At 40.5% G+C, this 24,502-nt stretch overlaps 1 long non-coding RNA gene across 2 annotated transcripts; it reads left to right on the top strand.

The window, feature by feature from the left end:
- Nucleotides 1-9,838: 9,838 nt before the first annotated feature.
- On the top strand, nt 9,839-23,989 carry LOC105371001 (uncharacterized). Of its 2 annotated transcripts, none has more exons than XR_932670.3 (4): nt 9,839-9,913; nt 11,521-11,576; nt 19,241-19,380; nt 23,889-23,989. It is a non-coding gene; the product is annotated as an uncharacterized LOC105371001 (long non-coding RNA). The 2 variants fall into 2 exon arrangements; XR_007064802.1 differs by lacking the exon at nt 23,889-23,989 and adding an exon at nt 18,744-18,824 and having other exon boundaries at nt 19,241-19,303.
- Nucleotides 23,990-24,502: the final 513 nt, after the last annotated feature.

Below are 24,502 nucleotides of genomic sequence, written 5' to 3'. Positions count from 1 at the left end.
AAGGTAAAGCACCTTTCACCTTTCCATACATCCTCCTAAGGCTCTGGCCCATGCAGCTGGTCCCCTCTCTACTGAACCAGTTCCCCAGCCCTGTAATAAAAGTCAAGAGAGGCAGTAGAGCATGCTGTAAAAATTTCGACTTGGAATGACACTCTCCTGGATTTGAAATGTGGGTCTGATTAATATTACCTGTGTCCTTGAGCAGATTATTCATATTTCTACCTTTCAGAAATGAGAATGACAAGAATCCTACCACATGGGATTGTCATGTGGCTTCAATTAAGCTGTGTACTTAAAATAAGTGCTCAATAAATATCAACCAATTTTAATAGCTATTACTTACAGTCACAAACAGTGACCTCTGAAATGCCTTCCCATAGTACCGTAACCTCTCAGAGGGGGTCTCCCTTACTTCCCTGCCCAAAGGAAGAGGACATTTCAAAGACTAAGAAATGTGTTTTCCTAGTTGCCCACAAAAAAAAATGGCTCTACAGTGAGCTTGTAGCCCATGGGCCGAATCCTTTGAGAGTGATGGTGGTTGTCCAAGGGACATTTGGTCAAGACTTGCATCATGATTTATTGTTTTAAAACTGCATTATTCTGTCTACCTCTGAAGCCAGATGTTGCAAAGCGTATAGAAAGTGAGAGAGAGGATAGCAGGGAATAGCTCATGCAGGATCTTATCAATTACTTATCTCTATCCCAAGAATAAGAAGACAATGATGAAAGCTTTTAAGCTGGAGAGCGACATGATGAAATTTGTACTTTCATCACTTGTACCACAAAATGAAAAACAGATTGCAGGAGGCAGGAATGGATGCCAGGCCCCTTGGACTAGGGTAATGGCAATAAAGATAAAGATACTTGAGTGGATTCCAGAGATATTTAGAGGTTGAAATCAACAGAATTTGCTTATAGTTTGCATATGAGAAAGTGAGAGAGAAGGAGTTGTCAAGGATGACAATCTGGATTGAGTAACAAACTGGAAAGGTCATGGTGTGTCATCTACTGTAGGAGGATGAGTTTTCTTTAGCTTTGTTTTGTGTGTGAGATGGATTATAAGCTACGTCTTGAATGTGTTGAATTTTAGATTCTTGAGGCACACTCAGGTGAAGATAAAATGCAGGAAGTTAGTCATAACTAGTTTGGAACAATAGACATTGGTGGAGGTAGTGTAATATTTCTCATGGTGAAACATGAGACTGCTAGTTCTCCCATAAATGTTTGTTCTTTTCTTATTCTATTGTGTAACAAATTGCAATAAACGTCCATGAATTTATTCCCTTCCCATCCAGAGGTAGAGTGTATTTCTCTACCCTCTGAATCAGGGTTAGCCTTTTCGGCCAATGGAACATCAACAAATGTGGCTCAAGCAAAGGCTTGAAAACATTTGACACATTGGAGCTTGCCCCTTTAGATTGTATAGCAGGTTCTTGAATAACATCATTTTGTTCAACATCATCTCATTACAACACTGATGAGAAAATAAAATCAATTACTGGCCAGGGCCACTGTCTATGTTGAGTTTACACATTCTCCCCATGTCTGCATGAGTTTCCTCCAGATACTCCGGTTTCCTCCACATCCCCAAGGACGTGCACATTAGGTTCATTGGTATGTCATCATGGTCCCAGTCTGGGTGAGCATGGGTGTGTGTGAATGTGCGTCGTGATGGAATGGCATCCTCTGTGGGGGGAGGGATCTCACTTTGCTCCCTGAGGTGCCATGACCCTGAACTTGAATAATTGGGTAAATAATTAACTTACCTAACTAACTTACTTGGGTAAATAATTACTTACTTATACTTATTAATCTTTCTTAAATGCTTGTATAGTTCACATTAATTTTAATGTTTAATATTAGAACTGTTTTGGTCTCTATCTAGCAGTTTGGTGGTGGTTTTGTGACCAGAAACATGCTATAGGAGCTTAACTCCTTCATATCAATTAGCCTATAGTAATAGCCTTATATCATTAGCCTACGGTAATTGATATAAACAAAAGTGAAGTTCCTATGGTATATTGCTACACTGTGGTAAAACTGGTTTCCTTATGCATTGTTTTGCTTGAAGTTACAGTAACCTATTGAGGACAATGTTAAGTGAGGACTTGCTGTACCTGCAGCCCTGAAAGCACAGCGTAATGAGTCCCAGGTAGCCCACTGGAGGATGAGAACCCATATGGAGGTGAGCCAAGCCAAAAAACAGCCTTCCAACCACCACACTTGTATGTGAAGCTGCCCTACCAGCTGACCTTGACCCATGAGCAGGGCCAACTGAAGTCAGGCACACTGGGCCAGAGCAAATAATTGCCTCCCTGACCCAGAGAGCTATGTGCTAAATAAGATGATTGTTATTTGCACCACTGAATTTTGGGGTGACTTGTTTCATAGAAAAAGCTAACTTACATACAGAATAATAAAATCTCTGCTTTTAAACTAGACAGTTTTTCTAGGCTCTCCTGCAGCTAGACTTGGCCAAGGAGATATAAAGGAACTTGCCAGCTGCTGGGAAATTTTCTGAAAAGTTGGCTGGTACAACCTCTGCTATATGATCTCTCTCCTTTCACCCCTTTATCTGTCACCTGAGCTGCACCTGTGATAACTGAAACTCTAGTCATCAATCTAAATCAAAAGAACGAGGGCACATTCTATGCATGTAGCCTTGTGAGCCAGGAGAAGCCTATATCACTGAAGACTTCATGGAAAAGTATCTCACCTTAGTGCTAGGCTTCCTGCCTCCATACTTTAACGTGAGGAAGAAATCATTAACTCCTATCTTCTTTAAGTCATTGTTATTTGGGGCCCATTTTACTTACAAGTGAACCCTAAGCCTAAGAGTTATACCTATTATCAAAGCATTGGACACACAAAGTTAGAATGCTTTCGTCAATCCACACATCCTGCCCTTGGATAATCACTGAGGCATCAGCAATTTATAGTTTCAAATCAGTCATGCTCGCTTCTTCTTATATTCTCTTTGTAAAAATAATATGGCCTTGACCTTATGTGAACACTAATATACATTGTTATGTGAACATTTGAATAGTGCTTTACTACTTTATGGTGCTCTTTTACCATGTTTCTTGGAAAGAAGTGTTTTCTAAACTGCTGGTTAAAACCTATTTGTGAGTTGTAAAATAAAATTACTGGATAACAATTTTATATTTAATGAAATAAAAGAGGATAGAACAGAAAAGAATGGGAGAGAATGGAAAATATCAGAGTCAATCACATGCAGTATGCTTGGTTTTCTTTCTTGAAATTGTCTCATTCATATATATGTGTGTACCAGGTTCTCTTGTAAAATGTATTTTTTTTAAATTTAGGTGATAATCAAAAGACATTGAAAACAGTTCTGTACAATGCCATCTGCTATTTTCCTCTACTCGTTACCTATCCTTTTTGTATTAGTCCATTTTCACACTGCTGATAAAGACATACCCAAGACTGGGTAATTTATAAGGAAAAAGAGGTTTAATGGATTCACAGTTCCACATGGCTAGGGAGGCCTCACAGTCATGGTGAAAGGCACGTCTTACATAGCGGCAGACAAGAGAGAATATGAGAGCCAAGCAGAAAGGGAAACCCCTTGTAAAAACATCTGATCTTGTGAGATTTATTCACTACAAGAACGGCATGGGGGAACTGTCCCCATATTCAATTATCTCTCTTTAGGTCTGGGTCCCTCCCTCAACACAGGGGAATTATGGGGGCTACAATTTAAGATGAGATTTGGGTGGGAAACAGCCAAACCCTATCACCTCTTTTTCACCAATGTCACCCAAAATTTCCATGGGGGAACCACCCTCCCTCATTGGTACTTCATTGAGAGAGGAAAGCATATGGCTTGGGCCTAGACAGGTAGCTTGTCACATCCCTTTGGCCAAAATAATTGGTTTGGGAAGGAAAAGTCCCTGTAATTTCCACTAGGTTCAAACTTTTGCTAGGCAAAAGAATGTATTTCTTTCCAGGGGTTCTGAGGTTTTGAAAATGGAGTGTTTTCCCAACAAGTGCTGGAGAGGATGTGGAGAAATAGGAACACTTTTACACTGTTGGTGGGACTGTAAACTAGTTCAACCATTGTGGAAGTTAGTGTGGCAATTCCTCAGGGATCTAGAACTAGAAATACCACATGACCCAGCAATCCCATTACTGGGTATATACCCAAAGGATTATAAATCATGCTGCTATAAAGACACATGCACACGTATGTTTATTGCAGCACTATTCACAATAGCAAAGACTTGGAACCAAGCCAAATGTCCAACAATGATAGACTGGGTTAAGAAAATGTAGCACATATACACCATGGAATACTATGCAGCCATAAAAAATGATGAGTTCATGTCCTTTGCAGGGACATGGATGAAACTGGAAACCATCATTCTCAGCAAACTATCGCAAGGACAAAAAACCAAACACCGCATGTTCTCACTCAGAGGTGGGAATTGAACAATGAGAACACATCGATACAGGAAAGGGAACATCACACACCAGGGCCTGTTGTGGGTTGCGGGGAGGGAGAAGGGATAGCATTAGGAGATATACGTAATGTAAATGACGAGTTGCTGGGTGCAGCACACCAACATGGCAAATGTATATATATGTAACTAACCTGCACTTTGTGCACATGTACCCTAAAACTTAAAGTATAATAAAAAAAAAAGAGAAAAAAAAGAAAATGGAGTGTTTTCCTGCCCTTCCCACTCCACTCCCCAGGGGCAGCTGCTAAGAGTTAAAATGTGAACCTGCAGTGGTTGTTGGCACCAGTGTACCACCACTAAGGCAGAGGCTGCCTGTGGGTGGAGTCAACTCAGAGGAAAGTGTGGCCGAGGGATGGACATAGTGAATATGAGCCCTGGCACTACAATTTGAGCTCCCGCGTCTGGCCATGCCTCAGGACTACCTGTCTCTGGAATTTTAATTCTGTCAGCCAAAACTTCCCTTTTGCATTCAGTCCAATTTGATTTGGATTTCTGTCACTTGCAATCAAGAGTTGTCACTACTACACAGTCTCATTTGATGGCAGGAGGATATAATTCATGTATTATTTTAAAGGGGGAAACTGAAGCTTACAATAATTAAATAACGTTACCAATATTACCAGATAATAGAAACAGAACTTGAATTCATGTCTTCCCACTCCAGAGCTCATATACTCTGCTATATATGACCTCACATAGACACAGCATTAATAGGCATCTTTGACAGATGAAACAACTGAGGCTTCATGACTAAAACATGGAATAGCACTTCTGGAGGCAAAGCAGCAGTGTCATCTGGCCTTGTGGAAGCAACACAGGCACCTAATAAACCCATGTCAAGCTTTATTTCTTTCCTGGGAGTTTGAAGTATCTTAAGGAGATAAGATTTACAGACTTCATAGGGTGAAGAAAAATAACTGTAACTGTCATTTTGTTCTTTCAGACTCCCCCAAGTCTTTGACACAGTCTCCTTACACACTTCCCTGCTGAAAAGCTGCATTTTCAAATGGCCAAACATTTACAATCTTCACCACAAACTTTTAAAAATTGAGATACAATTTACATGCCATACACCTCGCTTTTCAAAACGTACAAATTAACGGTTTTAATAGAATCACAAGGTTCTGCAACTAGGTCCAGAACATTTTCATCAGCCCCAGAATAAATTCATACCCATTAGCAGTCATTCCCTCCCTTCCTCTGCTCCTTAGTAGGATGGCCATCAGCTCCAGGCCAAGGCAGGTATTTAAGCCCTAACCCTTCATCAGGTCCTGTGCCTATCAAATATCCTTCTGTCTTGATGGTCTCCAACACTCTCAGAACCCGGAAACCTTCTCTTTTCTTCAGGAAACCCAAAGGCCATCAAAGACTCCTCATCTTCCATTTGCCTCTGAAAGCACCAAGCATCCATGCCTTCCCCTCTTTGATATTCATCCCCTCAGTCCGTATAGATCAGAAAATACAAGTTGGTCACCTATAAGTGAAACCTACGTAAATATGCTTTCAGCTTGCACAATTTTATGTTTTTTTATTTCATGGACTTAACATGTTAAAATTAGAAGTTTTCACATAAACATCTAGATTCCCAATTGTATTAAAAACTGGAAAGATCTGGGAGCCAGCCTATGTGCTCACATGGGAGTGCCCTTTTAGAATGGGAGACTCCAGGCTGGTCCTCCACAGTCCTTCTCACTCCCTTCTGCATTGCACTGGCCCTGCATCTCTCACGGAAATATTTGTGCTTTTGATTGTAGTCTATACTTGCAATGACAGATGCGCTATGTGTTCACTACACCGTGTCCCTTTCCTTTTTGGGCACAAAGCTAGGCTACATGTTGCCAGACTCCCTTGCAGTTAGGTGAGAGCCATGGGACTAGATTCTAGATGACAGAATGAGGGCAGGAGTCATGTCACCCCATGTAGCCTTGGTCCATAAAAACCTCCTGTGGAATCTTCCATGCCCTCTTTCATCTACTGGCTGGATATAAAGGTCTCTGGGTAGGCAGAAAATGGTGGGGATTCAAGATAAAATAAACCCAAGCCCTGTGCAATGGTGTGTATCTGTGGTTGCACTGCTCGGAAGGCTCAGGTCCGTGATTCCAGGAGTTTGAGTCCAGTCTAGGACACATAGTGAGGTCCTGTCTCTTAAAAGAAACAAGGAAGAAGAGGAAGAGGAAGAAAAAGAAGATGAAGAAGAAGAAGAAGAAGAAGAAGAAGAAGAAGAAGAAGAAGAAGAAGAAGAAGGAGAAGGAGAAGGAGAAGGAGAAGGAGAAGGAGAAGGAGAAGGAGAAGGAGGAGGAGGTGATGGAGGAGGAGGAGGGAGAAAGAAGGAAGAAAGAGGAAGAGGAGGAGGAGGGAGGAAGAAGGAAGAAAGAGGAAGAGGAGGAGGAAAAAGGAGTAAAAAGGAAGGAGGAGGAGGGAGGAAGAGAAAGAAAGAAGGAAGAAGGAAAGAGTAGGAGAAGGAGGGAGGAGGGAAGAAGAAAGAAGGAAGGAGAGGAAGTAGAAGCAGCAGGCTGAGTCTGGCAGAGCAGAGCAGAGCTCCCCTATTGACTGCATTTGAATTGTGAGGTGAGGAAGAATAACTTGGCTTTATGTTAAGCCACTGCAACCTTTGAGGTGCTCGCTACAGCCTTTAACCTATTTAACAAATACAACTTCCAAACCACAATCTATATATTGGGGTCATCTTTTGGGTAGGATGGTTCTCCAATTTTTGTCTGCGACACCCAAAATCTATTTCCAATACCCACCCAAACACTGAAAACAGAAGCTATGCCCTCAGGAGAGAGAGAACAAAAAATTAATTTCATTCTTTTTTTTCATGAGATGATTGTAATATAGGGTGGAGGGTGAGCAGATCATTAATGCATCGTCCTGCTAACCCTTATCCACACGTGTTCATCCCAGCTGGCACATAATGAGCAGTCACGATGAGTCAGGCATCTGTTATCCTATTTGTTTCTGACAAGAGTCCTTTTAGGAAGGGACTACCCCCAATTTCAAAGGTAAGAACAATGAAGCTCAGAAAGGCTTTGCAACTTGTCCAAAATCACACATCTAGCTGGTCATTTGCAGAGCCTGGTCTACCTATGCTCGCCCGCCTGTCCTGAGCATCCTTCCGGAGACCAGCACACTAATTTACAATGTGATTATAAAACAGCTTCATCTATACAATGTGCTGCTGCCACTTCAGACCAAATACGGGATTTTTTAAATGGGATCTATAGTACCTTCATTGGAAAAATAACTAATAATCTTATTCCATTACTAGAGCAGGACCGCATTGGAGGAAGCCATATTGTGGCAGGGAAGTCTGTTGGGACTCTTCTCTGTGTCCTGCCTGGGCCCTTCAGGGGCACCCCTTGCCCATGACACCAATGCACCTCACCAGGGATTAGTGTCAGCATTCAGATTCTATCACGGGCTCACTCCAGGGAATTTCTAAACATAGCTCTCTAAGTGTTCTAATTTCAAATACCATGTGATCTGGCTTCAAAATTATTTCCTTATCTCTAAAATGGAGACACAAGACTGCAATGAGGAACAAATCGAATGTAACAGTGCATTAGTTATTGATTGAGGCATAACAAATCACTCCGAAATTTAATGGCCTAAAATATTTATTCCTTCTTTTAGCGTTTCAGTGAGTCAGGACTCCAGGTGTGGTTAAGCTGAGTCCTCTGGCTCTGGGGGTTTCATAAGGCTGCAATCAAGATATGGGCTGAAGCTACCATCATCGGAAGGCTCTCTTGGGAAGGCCCTATTTCCTAGCTCATTCCCACAGTTGTGGGAAGAATTCAGTTCTGCCCAGTCTGTGAGACAGGCGCCTTAGTTCCTCATGAGCTAATGCCTGGAGCACTCGCTCAGTTCCTTGCCACATCCGCCCATGCACAGAGCATCTCACACCATGCCAGTTAGATTCATCAGAACAACAACAAAAAAATAGCCAGAGGGAAGACAGAAATTACAGCCTTTTGTAACCCAATCTCATAAGTGACATTCTATCACTTTTGCCATATTCTAGTTTTTAGAGGCAAATCACTAGGTCTAGCCCACATTCAAAGGGAGATCATACAAGAGTATGGATACCAGTGGGTGGGGATCACTGTGAGCCCTCTTAGAAACTGCCTACCACACTATGCAAATTCGCTATTCTCAAGCATTCAATAAATGGTAATAGCAATTACTATTACTGTTATTATTATTATTGATGATGATGATGATAAAAATATTATAAGACAATAGGTAGTTTTGAACCCAGCCAGATTACCTGGGTTAAAATCTCTCCTTAGCCTTTCATTTGCTATGTGACTTCGAACAAGTTACATAACCTCTCTCTCCCTCAGTTCCTCATTGGTAAATTTGAGGTAATAATAGGCTTTATCTCACAGGGTTCTTGTGAAGGTTAAATGACAACAGACAAGTACAGTGCTTAAAACAAGTGAAGTAGCTTAAAACTATACTATGGTAAACATTTAATATATATTAGTGAACACTGAGATTAATATTTTTTTTTATTTCTCTGCCTCTTGCTTAGGGCAACTCAATTGGTCAACTATTGTCACAATAATGCTGCAGAACAAACACCCTCAAAATCTCAGGGCATAAAACAGTGACTGTTTATTTCTTGCTCATGGGGCATCTCAGGTCCTGTGTCTCTCATCCCCCTACTGGAACCTGTAGTCAGCCAGGACATGTTTTTCTCATGACAATGGTAGAAGCCCACGAGACAAGCCCCACTGTGAAGGCTCACTTCAAGCCCTTGTCTGAATCACATCTGCCAACAACCCAAACTAAGTCACACGGCCAAACCCAAAACCAGGTGTGAAATATATGCTTTCTGTTGGAGAAACTGCAAAGTTATATGGGTTTTAGGGAGTGGAATATGGATAGGAAGGATGTGAAAAATTGGGGCCAGCAGTTCAATCTTCTATATATACCCATCTTACACTTTTGGAAGAGAATGGTAGAAGTAATAAAGTCTGAAATGTGGTAGTGGAGAATAGAGAGATAGGCAGAGGGAAATAAACATATACCAAGTATTTGCTAAGCTGAACACTATCTAGGTTTATTTCAGCATCACAACTCCTTATCTATGTATACAGTTGACGCTTGACTGATTTTTTTTTAAATGAAACACACAAACTTTATTGAACGAAAGTAACAGGTAAAGTCAAACAGGCACTTACATTAAGAGAAAAACTGACTGGAAGAACTTTTATCTTAAACATCTTACGGTAACCTACTTGCAGCTGTATTTAACTTGCAGTTGTATTTAGCTACTGCAGTTGTATTTAAGCTACAGCACTTTACTTGTCTCTTGTCATTTAACCTTCACAAGAACCCTATGAGATAAAGCCTATTATTACCTCAATTTTACCAGTGAGGACCTGAGCTCTGTGGCTGTGAAGAATATAGCTCGTGCACAGGTATGGATGAAAGATTTGTACATTTCTCAAATATTCACTGAATACTACCTTATATACATATATACATTAAATTTGAAAAAGATTTGACAATTCCCAGATAAACTTCATTTTTGTTGATCTTTTGGAAGAGGTTGTCTAAAGAGAAGAATATGTGGTTCTGGCTCATGAATCATGTCATGAACCCAGCCTAGACTCTGTTGGACACCAAGTCTCCTCTACTCCTCTTCAGACGTCAGATAAGTCATCAGATGAGTCGACACTTGATCGACTGTATACACAGATAAGGAGCTGCGATGCTGAAATGATCCCATCCACAGGGGATGGGATTTAAGACCTCCAAGGATACCAATCCACAGATTCTCAAGACCATTATATAAAATAATGTAGTATTTGCATATAACCTACACACATCCCCCCCTTATGCTTTATCATCTCTAGATTACTTATGATACCTTATACAGTGTAAACACTGTGTAAATAATTGTTATACTGTATTGATTTTTATTTGTATCATTTTTTGATTTTTTGTTTCTTTTTTTGGATATTTTCGATCTGCCATTGAATCTGGGGATGTGGAACCCACAGATATGGAAGGTCAACTGTAGTATCTTCATTGTTTAATTTGAGAAACTGAGGCATAGAACATTGCCTGTGGCTTACCTGAATCTAGTTTTCTTCTTACCACCCCACCCACTGCTGTGGGATGCTTGACTATGTATAGATATGGTCACTGGGGAGGGAACTTGGGGCTGGGACTGGCCTTCACAAGGCAACTGGTCTTGATCTCCACTACCTGACGGAGGTCTGTATTTCTAGATGGCCATAGTTTTAACAGTTAGAGGGAAGATCAGAGATTACCATCCACCCCTCTCATTAGCTAAAGAAACTGAATTTCAGAAAACAGAAGGCACCAAATGAGTGGGTGGTAAAACCAGGATTGGAAACTCATCTCTGGAGCTCCAGGGCTTTTTCCAGTTTCTCCAACTACTCCTCAGTGTAGGGCTGTGATCCCTGTCGAAATGCAAATTTCCCTGGGAAGGGGGCTTCATTGGACCTTTGTATTGAATGTGATTAACAGTGGAAAGCAGAGTCTGCAAATATTTAAGTACCTGAGGAATAAAGGTTGGCCCCAGGAAAGGTACCACTCTGCCCACCTCCTGCTGAACCTGCTTGCTGTAAGTGACTACCCAAAGACCTTAATCAGCGCTCAGGTACAGATGTGACCACGGCTTCATCTAAGTTAACTATAGAAGGGGAGCTCTGGAGGCACCATAGAGATCCCCTCCCCAGGAACACAGATTTAAAAGGCTTGTCTGGAGTCGCACCACGAATCAGAGACAAAGAAAAGATTAACTTTCATTCCTATGATCTTCAGGGCAATGTCATGTCTCTATACCCATTCAGGCAGTATTGGGACCACTCTTTCCCAAGTGCGCAAGACAGTCGCTGTCCTGCTTGTTGAACCTGTAGACCGCGTTTATCTCCAAATGAGCCTTTAAAAGCAGCCACATGTGTTCTTAAAAAGGGAGTGGGTAGAAGAATCTACTTAAGACTCATAACCCTAACAGTCATTGATATTTTTTTCTCCTAATTTAATTACATTGCAGGAAATATTTGGCTAAGACACGGCTACTTATGATGTCTACATAAATAACAGGATCAGGTAGGTTTCAGTTCACTCTTCTCTTGATTCTACTTTTACTTCTAGAATAATATTACTTTTCAGCCAGCCTCAGTGGCTCACGCCCGTAATCCCAGCACTTTGGGAGGCCGAGGTGGGTGGGTCACTTGAGGCCGGGAGCTGGGGACCAGCCTGGCCAACATGGCAAAAACCCATCTCTACTGAAAATACAAAAATTAGCCAGACGTGGTAGTGCACACCTGTAATCCCAGCTACTCGGGAGGATGTGAGGCACAAGAATCACTTGAACCCAGGAAGGCAGAGATGGCACTGAGCCGAGATCATGCCACTGCACTCCATCCTGGGCAACAGAGCAAGGCTGTCAAAAAAAAAAGGAAGAAGAATATAACTTTTCCTGTCTTATTGGTAATGTGATAGCAAAATAAGTGACAAAGTTTAATTGTCTCTGGAAGAAAAGCTTTAAAAAATGTATTCTGTAATATGCAACATATTTAGAGCTTACGATAAGCAATTTCTCTCAGGAGGAAGTTTTTCAAGGAAAAAAAAGTGACTCTAAGAGTAATTTCAGCAGCAAAGTAGATTAAATATCCACCATATTAGTCACAGAGCATTAGATGGAATTGAATTGACTGAGCAGAGGTCAAAGAGTGGCTGAAGTTTTCAGCCCACCAGAGGAGCAATAAAATCCAGCCATACTTAAAATCATTAACTTTAAACCCTTTGATATGAGATCCAAAACCTCACTGCTCATACTATGAACTTCCAAATGCCATGCCTGGTAAAAGAATAAATCCCTTCAAAAGATCTACATTTCATGAAATACTTTAAGGGGAGTAGAAAGCAACAGAATGAAACTGGAGTTTCCAGGTTTCTCCAAAAAATATATATCTCTGCAAGGCTTATTAAACAAACAAACTTCTGTTCCACCCACCAAAACATTCTCAGGCCAGTGTGCTCCAACTGAATGTAATCTGTCAAAGCCTTAAAGTTGATTTCTGGAAAGAAAGGCAAACCTCATGGGTGTGACCTTTCTCCTTTCCCTTCCCTTCTCTCAACCCTAGCAAAGGTCTGAATCCTCATGGCCACCTTCTGGGAGGTCCTGAACTCATACCTGAGGGGCAGCGGCTTCAGGGTTCTTTGGTTTTGCTGTACTGTTTTATTTGTAACAACGTCAAACTGGCTACAAGTCACCTAAAAAGACACACTATGTGAGAAATCTAAGACCTACAGCGCCCATGCACAGTCAGACGGAAAGTAGCTTGAAGTAAGTCTCTGAACTTAGAAGTTGATCAGCAGAGACAACTCAAAATTGAAGCAATGGCTGGCAAGTAATTAAACATACTGGAGAAAGGGTCTCATATCGTCAAGCTAATTCCTAAATAACAGACAGTGAAGGACAAAAGATAATGCACCTTTCCTAACCATTAAACAACTTCTCTGTTCTTTCTTCCATTTGAAACTAGTTTGCTTGTCATTGCTAAGTGCACTGAGTTCTGTATCCATCAGTTAACAATATCAATTTTTGAATATCTATTAAGGGTGCAAGCAGTGTGTCAATAAATAATGTGATGTCCTCTTTACAGGTGGTTAGAGGAAAGAATGAAATGCTGATTTTAGGGGGAAATTTTGCTTTTAATTACCATTGTAGTTATAACTAAACTAAAATTGTTTGTTCCTGAGAAAGCAGGTAGTTGATAGAGTTTCCTGAGTGCTTAGGCTAATGTACATTTGGAATAATGTTTTAGGAAAAAAATGTGTCTGGTCGGGCATGGTGACTCAGGACTATAATCCCAGCACTTTGGGGGCTGAGGCGGTTGGATCACTTGAGGCCAGGAGCTCAAGACTTGCCTGGCCAACATGGCAAAACCCCATCTCTACTGAAAAAAAAAAAAAAAAAAAAATTAGCCGGGTGTGGTAACACGTGCCTGTAATCCCAGCTACTCCAGAGGCTAAGGCAGGAGAATTGCTTAAACCTGGGAGACAGAGGTTGCAGTGAGCCAAGATTATGCCATTGCACTCCAGCCTGGATGACAAAAAAAAAGAATCTGTCTTGGATTAAAAAAAAAAAGAAAAAAGAAAAAAAGAAAAGAATGTGTCCAAGAAAGACAAATGTATGTGAATTTGAGTGATGAGAACTACAGCATTTTAAAAGATAGTGAGCATTACATTGTTGAGCAGGCAGTAAAAGTTCAGCTTTTGACAACGTGAGGAGAAACAGGATCTCCAAACACTAAGAGTTATATCAGGAACAGACACATCCCCACATGGAGTTTAGCTGCTCTTACATGGGCCAAAGAACCACCACTAAGCCTTGAGGTTGGGCAGAACCATGTACAATTAGGAAGCTACTCTGGAATGTGAGAAACCCTATATTATAATTCAATTGAGAAGCATTTATATTGAGAAAGGATAGTCCTATGAAAAGTTAGGAGCCCTAAATAAGCCTGTATGTATGAACAAGCCTGTATGTATGTGTCTGTGTATGCATTTATGACATATATGGCTTCTGTGAGGGTTTTTCTAAAACTTTAGTAGGAAGCCAGGCACAGTGGCTCACTCCTGTAATTCCAGCACTTTGGGAGGCTGAGGCAGGTGGATCACCTGAGGTTAGGAGTTCAAGACCACCCTGGCCAACACAGTGAAACCCCGTCTCTACTAAGAATGCAAAAATCAGCTGGGCATGGTGACTGTAGTCCCAGCTACTCGGGAGGCTGAGGCAGAATTGCTTGAACCTGGGAGGTGGGGGCTGCAGTAAGCCGAGATAGCACCACTGCACTCCAGCCTGGGCAACACAGTGAGACTCTGTCTCAAAAAAACGAATAAAATAAAACTTTAGTAGGAGAGCTTTAGGAAGGGAATTGCATAGATTATTCACCACTCGTCTGTGTGAGTTTGTGCAACCGGCTTCACTTTCTCCCGCCTCATTTTATGTGTCTGTTAGACACAGGTCATAGTAACAGTTCTAATATCATGTGGTTATTGCAAAGATTCGCTGAATTAATACATGTAGGCATTAGAGCAATACTTGGTACACACAAAGCATTTAAATATTTGCTTTTAGTATTGCTTTTTTTAAAAAATAAGTAGTGAATACACATGGTACAAAATTTAAAAGGTATGAATCGATACACGGTGAAAAATAAGTTAACTTTCTATCACTATCCCCTGGACTCTCAGTTCTCTTCCCTCAGGCAGTCATGCTTACCAGATTTTCATGTAAACTTTTAGAGATATCATATACATGTAATATGTGCATGTTTATACTTTAAAGAAAATCAATGATGGACTACTCTGCACATCATTCTGCACTTTGCTTATTTCACTTAATATCCATTTTGAAGATATTTTCATATCAGTTCTTATAGGAAAAGACCTGCTCATTTCCATAGCAATATATGGTATTTTATTAAATGTAAGTGCCCTGATTTATTAAGCAGTTCCCTTTGGATGTACGTGTAGATTGTTCCAATCTTTTGCTGTCATAAACAATGTTTCAGTGTGCACACGTAAATAGACATCTTGCACATATGTATGTTTATATCTGTAGGAAAAATGCCTACAAGTGAAATTACTGGGTCAAAGAATATGTACATGCCTGATCTTGACAAAATTGTTCAACTGTCTGAAAGGAGATCTTCAGATGTGCATGGTACTTTGTCCAGTTAAATTACATTGCAAACAAAAGATATTTCATGTCATAACTGTTTTGAGAGTTGGAGTCTTATTCTGTCACCTAGGCTGGAGTACAGTAGCACAAACATAGCTCACTACATCCTCCACCTCCTTGGCTCAAGCCATCCTCCCCCTTCAGCCTCCTAAGTAGCTGGGACTGTAGTCATGCACCACCATGCATGGCTAACTTTTAAATTTTTGGTAGAGACTGGGGTCTCGCTATGTGGCCCAGACTGGTCTCAAACTCATGGCCTCAAGCAATCCTTCTGCCCCAACCTGTAGAGTCAGTGGGATTACAGGTGTGAGCCACTGTACCTCACCTCATATAACAATTTTTAAAGGAAGAAATCTATCTGTCATCCAATATCACTTGATGTAAAATGCCTTATAGTTTTAAAAAGATTATTTGTGATTATTTTTTACTAAGTCATCTTCCCCTCCAGAAGTTATACAGCTAATGAAGTAAGTTTGCTCATTCTGGATACCTATGGTAGATTGTGTGTCTGTACAATTTACATTGATCACATTATAAAAATAGAATTTAGGGCTGGAAGTCAACAGAGAAATTATTTCTCCAATCCTCTCATCTGACAGATGAGAACTCAAGGGACATCTGGCTTAGGTTATGTACCCATGGTGAGATGTGGCACCAGAGGCAGGAAAAGGCCTAGAAGTTGGGGGCCCTCATTCAGGGTCAGGCCTCCCTCTCCACACGATTGTCTCTTCCCAAATTTTAGAATCTGGGTACCCCATGAAGCCCAAATCAGAAGACAAGAAGTAACGTTCAAACTTATATAAGAGTAATTTTTTATAATTAGGCAGGGATCCGGGGTGGCAATGGTGAGTAAAGACTACAATTCACATATCAATGTGTCTAACTAGGATAGCGAGGAAATAAATAAGGTCCTCTGTAAATTACGTCTAACAACAAATATTCAGGACATCAAAAGTTGTATCAATAAAATCAACACTCCAATGGTTCTTCTCTGATGAGGTATGCAAAACTATCTCTTTATGTCTTTTATATCTTTAGACATATGAAATGTTTCATTCCCAGAGAGGTTGTACATGTAGTTTTCTGAAGAATAAAAGATTTTTCTTGAGCAAAATTCAGTGAAAAGAATGTAATAGCACTTAATACATAAGCTAAAGCTTATTTCATAGGTAGCAAAAAACCAAATTCTCTCTCCAAATTCAGAAGTTCTCCCTCAAAATATAAGTCCCTTTGAGGTGCACTTTCTCAGAAGGCAGACAACAGTAGTCAAATGTTTATACAGCACCCACTTTAACGTCCCACATAGAAGATGACAGGCTGGAAGAATTAACTGTAAATCAAGAAACTGGTTTTTAGCATTAACATCAAAAACATGAATATCATCTCTTTACTATAAATAAATAATTGTATTTAAAATTAGACTCGTTTATATAACATAAATTCATATCTGATGAAAGGAAAAACATAAATAATCAAAACACTCCACAGCATCCCTTAAGAGAGGCTGAAGAACAGTGTTTGAGAAATACTATCTGTGACTTCCATAATGAGACAGCAGCATCATTTTGTTTCCTACGATACAGGATTCTCCATGGAACATCTTTTATTTACCCCATACATAAAACACCAAAGCTAAAAGTTGACGTGGCCTCACATAAAATTAGCTCTGCTACAAATCCCAAACCATGTACATAGAGTGACTAATTATTTCCCTGCTTATTTGGCTGGTATCATTAGAGCACATCTCATTTTACTGTTTTTGTCTGTGCTTTTACATGTTTCTCCAATTTGATATTATCTGTTACAAACAGTCAGCTACTTACCGGCTGCTTCCAAAGTATTTTGTAACAAGCCCAGGCGGGTGCTTAATGAGCCTATTACAAGAGCTGCAGGGAGAAGAGGCTTTTGTGAGCCCCTTTCTGCCTGTCCCCTTTTGAGTTTATAAGGTGGGAGAAAGCTGTCGAGAGCAGAGTTTAAATAAGCCTTTGCTGGCTGATCTACCTGTGAATAGGACTGGTGTGTTTCAGTTAGAAAGTGAGTGGCTCCAGGGAGCATCTTTTTGGGGTTGATTTGGCAGCTGCATAAGCCTCCTGACTGGGTCCTTCCAGAGTCTGGGCCCTGCCAGAGCCTGGATAGATAAATTCTCATCTTCACACCAAGCATAAACTTGAGCAAATAACTCTTTTCCAGACTCTGATGTCAGTCTGCATCTTAAAGGACAGGGTCTAGCCCCATAAATTCTACTGGATATAAATGATCAGCTTGACTCAGTGCCATAGTGAAGGCTCCTAAGAGCTGAGGTCAGAGCAAACAACAATTTTATCCTACCTCTGCCCCCTCCCAGCTCTGGGACCTTGAGCAAGTTACTTGCTAAACCTATTTGTGTTTCAGTTTCCTCATCCGCAAAACAGGCGTGATAATCATGCCTCCCTCAATTGTTTTGAGGATTAAGTGTTGCATGTAAATTACTTACTTTGCACAGGTTTCTTATTGTCTGTGGCTGTTCCCAGTACATAGTGAGTGTTTTCCGTGGGGAGTATAGATTCATATCCACCTCACTGCCCACCAGAGAGCCAGGTAAAAAGAGGGGACACCCAAATGCTTATTTGAATAAAATTTCTAAGTGTGTTAACACACTACAGTTGGTTCAAAAAAAACTTAACACAAAAAGTAGCAATTTTTTATGTAAAAAATTTATTTTAAAAATTTATTAATAAAAATTTTTATTAAAATTTTTTATTAAAAAATTAAAAATTTTTATTAAAATTTTTTTATTAAAAAATTAAAAATTTTTATTAAAAATTTTTATTTAAAAAATTGTCAAATATCATTTTTATTGACTAATGTATTCTGTTTTATTTTGTTATTTGTTATTGAATTTCTCCAACACCATCACCCCAGTCAGACCAGGTAGCCCAGCGCTTTGTATTTTTGTATTTCTCTATCTCAAAAAGTTTTCTAGAATTGAAAGTAGATATTCAAGGACTCTTCCTGTATTTTGTGAAAGATTAAACAAGGCTGGGCGTGGTGGCTCACACCTGTAATCCCAGCACTGTGGGAGGCCGAGGCAGGTGGATCACTTGTGCCCAGTAGTTCGAGATCAGCCTCGAACATAGCGAAACCCTGGGCAGCATAGCGAAACCCTGACTCTAGGAAAAATACAAAAATTCACCAGGCATGGTGGCATGCACCTATAGCCTCAGCTACTTGGGATGCTGGGGTGAGAGGGTCGCTTGAGCCCGGGAGGCAGAGGTTGCAGTGAGCAAGACTGCACCAGTGCACTCCAACCTGGGTGACAGAGTGAGACTGTGTTTAAAAAATAATAATAAAAGCTAAACTAGGATACTCACATGGGTGTGTGGTGTGTGTGTACACAGCATGTGTGTTTCTGTGTGTGTTTTCCGTTGAATTTGGAAGGCTTTAGGCATTCAGTTACTCTCCAGCTACTAAAGTCCCCAGCCCTCTTTTCTTTTACACCTAACCCACTTAGTGTATTTATTCTTACCTCTTTGCCCCTAAAGGACTTTGACCCAGCAGCCCTGGAAGCTCACAAAGACACTGTGCTGTGATCCTGGAAAGAAAGAGAAGAGAGAGAAGGCCAAGTACGGTGGCTCACACCTGTTATCCCAGCACTTTGGGAGGCCAAAGTAGGAAGATAGCTTGAAGTCAGGAGTTCAAGAAAGGGAAGAGAGGAGCACTGTAGGGGAAGGCTGAGGCAGAGCTTTCTCTGAGCTAAAAGAGGCCAGATGTTGGCAACAGTGCCTCTATGGGAGAAACTGAGGCCTGCACTATGTTGGAAACAGAAGCTCAGAGGGGAAACCCCAGAAAGAAACTCCCAAAGTCACCCCTGATTCATCCATGTCCCAAACCTGATATAAAAGCCATGGAGCCACTGGACCGAATGACCAGGAAGCAGCAGCCCCTGAGAGTGTCAGAATTCAAGTATGACTTGGTGGCCTGTGATAGATGGCCAGCTGAGGAGGCCTTCCTAACACCTTGGTGCTGTGTCACTCCCCAGGAGCTGGGCCAACTATGGGAATGAAGAGGAAACTGGAAAAAGAACCTGTAACGCCTGAGATCGCCTGACCACCAACCCAGCAGGATGGCTGCTGGGGTCTTATTAAATTAGCAAAAAAGAAACTAAAAGTGATTTGTCAAGTAAGTCACAGCTCACTTCATCACTATCTTTTTTACTGTGATCTATTTTATGCTGAATTAAAGAAAATAAATGCTATATAGCAATAAGAGAATGTTACAATTATGCTACTATATTTGAAGTAAGCATGTGTGTTAGAGGCCATTTCAATGTTGAAAATTTTGAAGTTCAGACCTGCTAAGCATCCTCCCTCCTTACAAGCGCTGTCCTCTGGCCCATTAGGGTAGTGGCCTTGTTAAACAAGAATATACTTATAACTCAGGCAGGACATGCACTCTGCAGTTGGCCATGGGCCTAACTGGAGGCCCCATATGCTTTTGATACGTGCCAGCCACAAAAGTATTTGAGTTTTATTTATTTTTATTTTGTTATTTAATTTTTAAAAAATTGCTGTGGGTACATAGCAGCTGTATATATTTATGGAGTGCATGAGATGTTTTGATACAGGCATGCAATGTGAAATAAGCACATCAGCATTTTGAGTTTTACATTCAGGATGTAGAAACCCCAGGGGCAATGCTTTCAGATACCCTGACTCCCTATGCTGAATTCCACCTTCACTCCATCTCACTGACTTGGTTTTAACATGAATTTAAAGTGCACTCCTTTTCTTCTCTAAGTAAATGAAACTGGCAAGGTTTATTTGAAACAGAAAGGGTTTGCGGGGCACGGTGGCTCAGCACTCTGGGAGGCTGAAGCAGGAGGATCACTTGAGCCCAGGAGTTCGAGACCAAGCTGGGCAACACAGGGAGACCCCGTTTCTATAAAAAATACAAAAACTAGCCAGGTGTAGTGGCACCTGTCTATAGTCCCAGCTACTTGGGAGGCTGAGGTGGGAAGATGGCTTGAGCCCAGGATGGGGAGACTGCAGTGAGCCATGATCCAGCCTGGGGGACAGAGCGAGACCCTGTCTCAAAGAGAGAGAGACAGAGAGAGAGGGAGAGAGGGAGAGGAAGAAAGAAAGGGTCTTCACAAGTAGCTCAAAAACAACATTTGTCTTCCAATCAATCTCTCCAGTATATTTTGGTGACTAAATATTTGACTCGACTTTTGTCTCCAAATGTGTTTTCCTTCCTCCCTCCCTTCTTCCTTTCCTTCCTTCCTTCTTCCCTCCCGGACCCTTCTTTCTTGCCTGCCTTCCTTCTTTCCCTCCTTCTTGCTTTCCTTCCTTCTTGCCTTCCTTCCTTCCTTCCTCCTTCCCTCCCTTCCTCCCTTCCTTGCTTCCCTTTTTTTTTCTTCCCTGAGGAAAGGAATGCTTTATTCATATCTTTGGTCCAACTAATGAAAGCCTCAAAAAATAAACTGTTGCTAATTACTCAAGTGACTTAATGACTGACCACCAGGATCCAGACCAGATTCGAGTGTGATTTGCATTGTTGGCTCATGTCTGAACTCTTCACCCTTAGGCTGTATATTACAGTTTGTTACAAGCCACAGACTTTTTCTATTATGCTGAAAGAGCATAATTTCATGTTTTCTGTGTTTAAGTTACGTCACTGCCATTTTTAGGAGAAACTGTGGTCCTGCCACCCTTTTCCAGTAGAAGAGATGCGGCCCACTCACAATGCAGATTCACCTCCAATAGTGACCTCTTGAGCAAAAAAAGAAATCCATTTCCATGTTCATTTGGGCCTTTGGCCTGTCTACTGAGTAGGCCCGCGAGGCTGAAAACCATGCTAATTACATAAGTGATTTAATTTCGATAATGCAAGAGCTGACCATCAGATATCAAACCAGATTTGAGAGGGATTTGCTCTGCTTCGTGATGTCAGAATTGTCCACCGTTAGGCTGCTTCATGCAGACTTTTTTTTTTTTACTAGTTGAAAGTACTTGTAAATAATTTCAAAGATTAAACAAAATCAAGAAATTTTAAAAGTGGAAAGTATACCAAGGTTCTTGTGTGTAGATAACATAGAAACTTAAAGTACAGAGGCTTTGTACCAGACCTTAAAATGTGATTGATTTAGAGGCTCAGATATGATCGACTTGATATTTTCTTGCTTCTGACACAAACTAATCATAGAAAATTCCTTTTTCCAACCACTTTAGAGTTTAGTTTGGGGTGCCTTGTAGAAAATTGATCCCAGCTACTGTGGATGTAGTCAAGAAGAGACACCATTTCAAATGTTTGATGTGATCCATTAGGAAAATTACCAAATATTGCCATAGGTTAATCTTACCTTGTAGTAATGTTTTTTTTTCTGCAAAGATTAGTATCTTTAAGATTTATTAAGACCTGCATCAAATGTATCTTGTTGTTTTCTATTTTTATTGAACACAAAGTAATCTTTCAGGACAGAGACATAAAGATCTGCTGTCTCAGTTACAAACACACTAACCTCATATCTTTCCATCAGAATTTCTTCTCATTGGTTTTATGGAAATGTGGAAATATTCAAAAATAACCAATATGCACTTCATCAGTTTGACATCATGAATAGAAGTCAATAGAAGCAAGCCATCCTTTTCTCTAATAGGACACAGAATTCTGTGTGGTTTGATTTTTGATGACACCAATTGCCAAAGCATAACTCTGAAACTGACTCCTACCCATTCTCAATTTGGCATCCTATCCCTACGCCTATAATTCACTTCTGGGACAGAATCGTGGTCATTTCTAACAGCACCCACAGTTACTTAATTACTAGAGTAATTGGTCACTTGTGTACTCACAATCAGAGGCAAATGCCTGATTTCCACTGCGAACAGCTGGTGTTATTATTTTTTAAAAGAATTTCTACCTGAAATTAGAAATTGTCACCCAAATCGCAGATGCAATAAATGATTTGCCTAAAATTTGGGCAGAATCAATTTCTCATTTTGATAACAGGAACTAGTAATTGAGAGAAAATAAATAATGAGTGTGGTTTCTGTGAGCTTAAGAAATCTCTGCAGGAAATAATGAAAGGCAATCGTACTAGGGATGTGGTAAAGGGAGAGAAAGGAAGAAAGGAAGATATAGAGGAAGGAAAGGAGAGAGACAGACAGATGAAAGAGAGAAGGAGAACCAACAATTCTAGAGAAAAATAATACCACCTTATCAAAATGTGCATGTTACCTTACCAAAGCATGCCTGACTTCTATCATTTAAATCACAACTGCAAGAATGAGGCTCAAGCGATCAATGTCTTTTCCCAGATAACAGAGAAGGAGAATGCTTAACATCCCACTATATTTTTTTGTTCTTAAAAACTACCACCTCCATGCCTGAAGGCTTTTCTCCCCCTAAAGATGTCGTGGGGCCTGGGGAACCACTTAAAGTTCCTTGCCATGCTTGCCCAAGAAACACAAAGTGTTGGTGAAGTATAAACAGAGAGCGCTTTTTCTTTGACCCACTCTGCAGTGTGATGGGGTAGTGTTGTTAGTTTATGTGAGAGAAAATAGCATAGGCTTTCTGAAAAAAAGTGGAATTGGATTAGGGCCTTTGTGCGCGCCTCAATGCTGAGGGGAATTAGCAAGAGTTGTAGGCACTTAAAGGGGCCCTCATGCTGAAGCTTATCCCAGATTTTGCACAATAAACATTTGAATATCAACAGTGTTTTGCAACTTGCAGCACTAATGTATAAACTTCTCTCTTTTGAAACTCCCAAATCCTTCCAAATGTCTGTAACACCCTCTACATAAACATATAGGAGCTAGGGTAGAAAACACCTAGTCAATGATGTAAGTCTGCTTTTAAAAAGATCTTTCTCCTTTTCCATCTTCAGAATCTAGAATGTTTTATAATGGTTCGTTGGTTTAAGGACTTTAGTAGATGCTCTATTTAATTTTAATCATTCCACTTTCTTTCAGGCTTTGCATTCTGATATGGGGGAGGGGCAGTGTCCAGCAATGGATAAGGATGTGTGGTTGAGTTTAGAACTGTTTCACCAAGATTTTTGTTGTTGTTGTTTTACATATCGGACTCCTTAAAGAGTCTTTTGTTTTAGAAAGAATCCTTCTGAGGGTTTCAAAAGTAAATTCACCTCTGCAAGAAAAGAATGATTTTGTCTGTTAAAGTCTGCTGACTACCTCATTGGGAATCCACATATTCGAGCCAGTTCCCACCCTGAAAACTAATCTGATACTCAGTTATCCTAACTGAAGATAGTAGGCTGATTTTGTAGTAAGAGCGTCCAACATCAAACAGTTATTTGATGTTCCTGACATTAAGCAAGCTCTATTTTTCTCTTTAAAAATTTCAAACTCCCAGAAGTGAATTCAAAATATTGTAGAGCCTTGATGGAGGGTGAAAGGCATTAATTTCTCTCTTCTGAAATCGATCAGCAGACAGGCATAATATTTTGTTTTCTGAGAACAGGATATTTGCTTTTGGTTGCTGGTATAGCAGAATTCTTCCCTTCAGTTCTTTGTGTAATCCATTATAGCAATGGTGTCACTTTATAAGATTTGATGCTCTTAATTTTGTACTAAAGCAAACACTTGGGATGCAAGCACATTTTTCATCAAAATCTACATCAGCAGTTTATGGAAGTTAATGAATAAACGGATCCCCTTCTTGCTTTCCAGCATGTGTTATCTAGAGATGATTCTAAGCAACTCAGCCTGGCGGTAATGTATTCCATCCAATTGAGGAGTTTGCAGGAAAATAAATCTACAGTGACCCAACAGAGTAGTAAAACACTTGTTTGAAATTATTTTTTGTAACTGTGCTCATTTCATGCCTGAAAAGACGGTGGTAAAAATCTCATTGCACCGGGGGCTGGTTGGGGGGCTGGGGGGAATGAAGACATAACTGTTCTGCCCAGCTCTGAGGCATGTTGAAGCAGTTTGCCTATTGAATTTGATACAATGATCTGTAGATGAATAAAGTTATCTCCGGTTCTGAATAGGATGGTGTCAGTGGGAGGGTAAGAAGGGGGGGGAACTTGGAATCTGAAAAGAATTCTTTTTTTTTTTCTTTTTCTTAAAAAAAAGAAAAAAAGAGAACTTGAAGGTCAGGGTCCAGCTGCCGGGCAAGAGTAGAACACAACAAAATGCTGGACAGGCCTAAATAAAGACAACTATAGACACCCAGACACACATATTGCAAAAGTTGCTTGCTTCAAGTAACTAATGTATTAACATATATTTCTATAGGCAGAGAGCTATTTTTTCCCTTTAGGCTGTCTTAGACTCTGATG

The sequence above is a fragment of the Homo sapiens genome, chromosome 15 (genome assembly GCF_000001405.40).
Source record: "Homo sapiens chromosome 15, GRCh38.p14 Primary Assembly".
NCBI lineage: Eukaryota > Metazoa > Chordata > Mammalia > Primates > Hominidae > Homo > Homo sapiens.
Note: the sequence above shows the minus strand (reverse complement) of the source record. Positions and strands in the feature narration are given on the sequence as shown.